Raw genomic sequence first — 6,706 nt, 5'->3', positions numbered from 1 at the left:
GTAGGAATTGCAACATTCTCAGTGTGCAGAATGAGGATTCAAATAGTCAGGAATGGTAAACTCCAGCTTATTAAATTTTATTGAATTGAAATTCAATAGTAATAAGTCAGATTCTGCCTTTGGGTTCAAAAAGTCAACTCTTCATAGATAAAGTAGGAAAGATGTAGAATTTTTAGAACTAGGGAGGCACTCTGCTGACAGCACCCTTCCCCTGCATCAAGTTCTGTCTTAAGTGCCAAACTTTAAGGGCATTATCAACAAATGAATATATTCAGAGGAGTGATCTGGAGGGTGAAGGGACCTAAAATTTTGTCATGTAGAAACTTCTGAAGAATCAGCATTAAGCCCAGATAATAAAGACTCAGGGAAAACAAAATTATAGTCTAGATATACTGTATTAATGGACTGAAGGGAGAAAATTAGGGCCAGTGGATGGATACTGCTTGTATTAATTCAGAATGTAGTATCCCTCAGAGATTTAAGGAAGGGGTGTTGTGCACTGGAAAAAAATACTGGTTTCCAAGTCAGGCAGACCTTGTTTAATTCCAGACTCTTGACAAAGTTTTATGTCAGTCTTAGTTTTCTCACTTAAAAATTGTAGTAATATGTATTCTGCAAAGTTTGGAAACGTAATGTAGCAAGGTCTGTAAATCACTTTGCAGCACCTCACCTAAGAGCGTCTATGGTTGATTTTAAATTGGGTATTCTAGGTCAGGTTTGGCATACTTTCTTTCTTTCTTTTTCTTTTCTTTTGAGGCAGAGTCTCACTCTGTTGCCTAGGCTAGAGTGCAGTGGCGCAATCTCGGCTCACTGCAACCTCCACCTCCCGGGTTCAAACAATTCTCCTGCCTCAGCCTCCCGAGTAGCTGGGATTACAGGCACACAGCACCACGCCCGGCTAATTTTTGTATTTTTAGTAGAGATGGGGTTTCACTATGTTGGTCAGGCTGGTCTCGAACTCCTGACCTCATGATCCACCTGCCTCAGCCTCTCAAAGTGCTGGGATTACAGGTGTGAGCCACCGTGCCCGGCTCAAGGGTTGGCATACTTTCTGTAAAGGGCTAGAGAATAAATTTTTCAGGTTCTGCAGGTCTCTATACAATGATACCACTCCAGTTCTATTGGGAAAGCATCCATAGACAATGATCATGGCTGTGTTCCAATGAACCTTCTTTTGTGGACACTAAAATGTGAATTTTATATAATTTTTGTGTGTTGTGAAATAATTATCAAATCTTTTTCAAGCATTTAAAAATGTAAAAACAGCTGGGCGTGGTGGCTCATGCTTGTAATCCTAGCACTCTGGGAGGCCAAGGCAGGTGAATCACCTGAGGTCAGGAGTTCAAGACCAGCCTGGCCAACATGGTGAAACCCTGTCTCCCTGTCTCTACTAAAAATACAAAAAATTAGCCAGGTGTGGTGACAGGTGACTGTAATCCTAGCTACTTGGGAGGCTGAGATAGGAGAGTCACTTGAACCTGAGAGGCGGAGGTTGCAGTGAACTGAGATTGCGCCACTGGGAGACAGAGTGAGACTCCAGTTCAAAAAAAAAAAAAAGTAAAAACGATGTTTATATATGAGGCTGTGCAAAAACAGGTGATGGGTTGGTAATTGGCAATTAACCAAGATTGAAAATCTTTTTTTTTTTTTTTTAATGGAGTCTGGCTCTCGCCCAGGCTGGAGTGCAGTGACAGAATCTCGACTCACTGCAAGCTCCGCCTCCTGGATTCACGCCATTCTCCTGCCTCAGCCTCCCGAGTAGCTGGGACTACAGGTGCCCGCCACCACGCCAGGCTAATGTTTTGTATTTTTAGTAGAGATGGGGTTTCTCCATGTGGTCAGGCTGGTCTTGAACTCCTGACCTTAGGTGATCCACCCGCCTCAGCCTCCCAAAGTGCTGGGATTACAGGCGTGAGCCACTGTGCCCAGCCTGAAAATCTGTGTTGACTCCGTCTCAAAAAAAAAAAAAAAAAAAAGTAGCTAGCCTCATTTGTTTTTCTTTCTTTCTTTTTTTTTTTTTTTTGAGACAAAGTCTCACTCTGTCACCCAGGCTGGAGTGCAGTGGTGCGAACTGGGCTCACTGCAAGCTCCGCCTTCTGGGTTCACGCCATTCTCCTGCCTCAGCCTCCCGAGTAGCTGGGACCACAGGCGCCCGCCACCATGCCCGGCTGATTTTTTGTATTTTTAGTAGAGACGGGGTTTCACCGTGTTAGCCAGGATAGTCTCGATCTCCTGACCTCGTGATCCACCCGCCTCGGCTTCCCAAAGTGCTGGGATTACAGGTGTGTGCCACCACACCCGCCGCGTCATTTGTTTTTCAACGCAGACTTATAAAATGCAGATTACTTTGGTCGTGGTCTGTAACATCCCCAGGGAGAAAGGAATGCAGAAGGCAGAGTGGTTAGGAGCAGCCACAAAAGAATGAGGAATGAAGAAAAAGGGGTGAATGAGAAACCAATGAGAAGTGTTGGGAGATGCCATGTAACTGGTGGGGATACCCATACCCATTTTAGAACAACTTTTTTTTTTTTTTTTTTGAGACAGGGTCTCACTCTCTTGCCCAGACTGGAGTGCAGTGGCCAGACCTCGGCTCACCACAACCTCTGCCTCCCAGGCTCAAGCGATTCTCTTGCCTCAGCCTCCCGAGTAGCTGGGATTACAGGCACGTGCTACTACTGCCCAGCTAATTTTTGTATTTTTAGCACAGGGTTTCACCATGTTGGCCAGGCTGGTCTCGAACTCCTGGCCTCAAGTGATCCACCTGCCTTGGCCTCCTAAAGTGCTGGGATTACAGGCATGAGTCATTCAGGCCGGCCCTGAATTTTTCAAAGTTGCCACCACCAACACTTTGTTCTTAGTGTGTGGACAGTAGAGCAGGTTGAAGGGCCAAAAAACAAACAAGCAAGCAAGCAAACAAACAAACCAACAAACCAGCCTCATTTCCTTGTCTCTGGTATGTTGAGAAAGTGGACCCTAGAGTTCAGTACCACTCCTCCTACCTTTGAGCCCAACTCATGATTTAAGATGTTGAAGTGCCCAATAAGGACCACATGGAAGCCTCCCTCAAAGAGTGTGGCACATGCTGCAACCCATAGGAAAGGGATTAGAATGCAGGTTTTTTTTCCATTTAGGGAGGAAGGAGCAGGAAATTTAGTAGGTAAGTAAAAGTAAGTACAAAGGCACAGCTACGAAGAAAAGGTACTTTTTCTGCAACTAGATATGCTACCACTAGGTGGAGCCAGACTCTCCTGGCATGGAACTTTTTTTTTTTTTTTTTTTTGACACGGAGTCTCGCCCTTGTCGCCCAGGCTGGAGTGCTGTGGCGCGATCTCGGCTCACTGCAACCTCCACCTCCCGAGTTCAAACAATTCTTCTGCCTCAGCCTCTCGAGTAGCTGGAATTACACGCGCCCGCCACCACACCTGGCTAAATTTTTTTGTAGTTTTAGTAGAGACGGGGTTTCACCATGTTGGCCAGGCTGGTTTTGAACTCCTGACCTCAAGTGATCCGCCCGCGTCGGCCTTCCAAAGTGCTAGGATTACAGGCGTGAGCCACCACGCCCAGTCTGACATGGAACTTCTAAACAGTGATGCTACGTAACAGGCCTGGTTCGCTGGAGATAAGTAAGAGGGGATAAAAATAGTTAACCTTACCTATCTGATTGGCAAAAATTCAAAAGCTTGATAGGGAGTCTATCTGAGCCTGGGCAGGTTCTGGAAGCTGCCCAATTTAAAAAAAACAATGGCGCCTGGTGCGGCGGCTCACGCCTGTAATCTCAGCACTTTGGGAGGCCGAGGCAGGTGGATCACGAGGTTAGGAGTTCAAGACCAGCCTGACCAACATGGTAAAACCCCGTTTCTACCAAAAATACAAAAATTAGCTGGGCGTGGTGGCACGCGCCTGTAATCCCAGCTACTGAGGAGGCTGAGGCAGGACAATCGCGTGAACCCAGGAGGCGGAGGTTTCAGTGAGCCGAGATCACGCCACTGCACTCCAGCCTGGGCAACAGAGCAAGTCTCCGTCTCAAAAAAAAAAAAAAAAAAAAAAAGGAAAATAAAAGACAAATGGCTGGGCATGGTGGCTCACACCTATAATCCAAGCACTTTGGAAGGCTGAGGTGGAAGGATTGCTTGGGGCCAAGAGTTTGAGACTAGCCTGGGCAACAAAGTGAGACCCTGTCTCTATGAGAAAATTAAAAAAAAAAAGGCCACCTTTTTGATACGAAAGGAGGGGAAATAAGAAAGCATACTATATTTGCTTATTTTTGCAGAAACAAACACAGGAAGGAAAATAAACTAAATTGGTTATTTCAAGAGGTAGATAAGGTCTAGATGAAATAGATACATGATCGGCCGGGCGCGGTGGCTCACACCTGTAATCCCAGGACTTTGGGAGACTGAGGCGGGCGGATCACGAGGTCAGGAGATCGAGACCATCCTGGCTAACACGGTGAAACCCAGTCTCTACTGAAAATACAAAAAATTGGCCGGGCGTGGTGGTGGGCACCTGTAGTCCCAGCGACTTGGGAGGCTGAGGCAGGAGAATGGTGTGAACCCCAGAGGCGGAGCTTGCAGTGAGCCCAGATCGCGCCACTGCACTCTAGCCTGGGCGACAGAGCGAGACTCTGTCTCAAAAAAATAAAAATAAAAATAGATACATGATGGAGTATTACTTCTCTGAGTTTATTTACCATTTTGTCTAGTTTTGACTTCTGGATCCATGTTAATGTTTTGCACATTAAAAAAAGTTGACAAGAAAAAATATGCAGAACATGCTTGTCCTCAGGCTTGTCAGAGACTCCTATAACCATATAAAGAAGCTGAGGGTTGATCATGCTTGAGCTATGATACTTATTAAAATAGTACTAGAAAGACAAATAGAATGTAGCATGGCAAAAGAGCTGCACATTTTGGGAGAAGGCATTTATTTGTAGGGGCTGAAATGTGCTAGCTCGAGAATCAGACCTAAGAATTACAAGGTGATTAACCAAAGGAAAAAGTCTCTGGAAGTAGAAAACTAAAAAGAAGGTTTGGAACAGGCTGGAAGTGAGATTGAAGCATATCACAGAAATGTTAGACATTCTTCAATGTCAGTGCCTTGGATGAATTTATAAGGCTTTGCCTTAAAGTTACTTGTGGGCTTATAAAGCCTGTGTCAAAGCTAAACAAAGCCAGACAATAGTTTAGACAAGAAGTAAGGATAGGTATTTATTTATTTATTTGAGATGGAGTTTCACTCTTGTCGCCCAGGCTGGAGGGTAATGGCGCGATCTTGGCTCACCGCAACCTCCGTGTCCGGGGTTCAAGCGATTCTCCTGCCTCAGCCTCCTGAATAGCTGGGATTACAGGCATGCACCACCACGCCCGGCTAATTTTTTTGTATTTTTAGTGGAGACAGCGTTTCTCCATGTTGGTCAGGCTGGTTTTGAACTTTTGACCCCAGGTGATCTGCCCACCTCGGCCTCCCAAAGTGTTGGGATTACAGGCGTGAGCCACTGCACCCGGCCTAGGATAGGTTTTTTTAAGTAGTAACTATTGCAGTAGGGAAGAGGGCCCAAGGTGAACTGAACTTAACTTCCTTAAAAAAAAAAAAAATGCAGGAGGCCTTTTGAAGGCTGGGATGTGCTAAGGGATAGGCATGAAGATATTAAGGAGAATTGCTCCATGTGACTAGACAATCTGGATTTGTGAATTGGCTCTTGTCCAGAAGAGAAATAAGCACCTATTTTTACGACAGGAGCTAGTAGTGCAAGTTAGAGCAAGGCACCCACCTGGTTGGGAGCTGGAGCAAGATTTATTTCCTCAAATGTTTGCATTTCAAAGAAACTCTCAGGTCCCAGTGAAAATAGCTCTGGGTAGAAGATTTACATCTCAAAGAGGCAGAGAAAGATGTTTTAATTGCAAGCTTTCTTTCTAAGTAATTGCACTAAGATGAAGTTCAGGGGCCTGTGTCTATTGCTAGGTTTGGGCTGGGATGCACAGTAAATTTTTCTGACAGCGATGAGCTTTTTCAGGCAGGCATTTTAAGCGGGGGGCTGAGGTCCTCCTAGGGACAAGGCCTTAAGTTGCTAGAAGCCATGCTAGAGCTTGGTTAAGGAGAGTCTTTGTTACCTGGCGTCTCTCTGCAGTGCCGTTTCAATGCCTTAGAGCAAGAGAGTGGTGGATGGACAGTGATAGTGATTCACGTGCGCAATTCACAACTTGCATTAGCAACCAGGCAAAAGCAAGTGCTGCTTTTAGAGGCCTTGGGAAGAATTTCCACAAGTTTCCGGCCATTGGGATACAGGGGAAAAGGGATTGGAGGGAGGCTCATCGGGAACAATACATTAGGTAATGTTGGGGTTTATAAATCGATACCCCCAAATATAGTACTGAACCGAAGAAGCAACCTGAAGATCTCTCTGACCTTCCCCGCTCCACACGGTCTCTCCCAAAAAGCTGAAGTTCCTTTATTTGCCTAAGATCCAGACCCTCCAAGGAGAACAGTAGGTTTCTTTTCCTCCTGTAAGACCAAAAATGTAACCACACCTGAACAGACCTTTTCATGAGTTAATGCCTGCTTCTCATGGTCATCTAAATTCCAAAGAAAACTATTTACAAGTTAATTTGTTTCCTGATCAAATCATTCTCTTTAGTAATCATTTATTGCCCATCAACAGAATTCCTTTTCTCCCGCAGGATCCAAACTCATTCTTTCTGTAACCTCA

The 6,706-nt window shown here is 45.2% G+C and overlaps 2 annotated features.

Moving 5' to 3' along the window:
• Positions 1,688-2,526: an enhancer, noted in NCBI's record as "H3K27ac-H3K4me1 hESC enhancer chr1:160960931-160961769 (GRCh37/hg19 assembly coordinates)". NCBI's record gives its function as "activates a minimal SCP1, AML or CMV promoter by ChIP-STARR-seq in naive H9 embryonic stem cells {active_cell/tissue: H9 hESC(naive)}" and the evidence as "EXISTENCE:reporter gene assay evidence [ECO:0000049][PMID:30033119]".
• Positions 5,974-6,268: a silencer, noted in NCBI's record as "tiled region #578; K562 Repressive non-DNase unmatched - State 23:Low". NCBI's record gives its function as "represses a minimal TATA promoter and a strong SV40 promoter by Sharpr-MPRA in K562 cells {active_cell/tissue: K562}" and the evidence as "EXISTENCE:reporter gene assay evidence [ECO:0000049][PMID:27701403]".

This window comes from Homo sapiens, chromosome 1 (assembly GCF_000001405.40).
Source record: "Homo sapiens chromosome 1, GRCh38.p14 Primary Assembly".
Lineage (NCBI taxonomy): Eukaryota > Metazoa > Chordata > Mammalia > Primates > Hominidae > Homo > Homo sapiens.
Note: the sequence above shows the minus strand (reverse complement) of the source record. Positions and strands in the feature narration are given on the sequence as shown.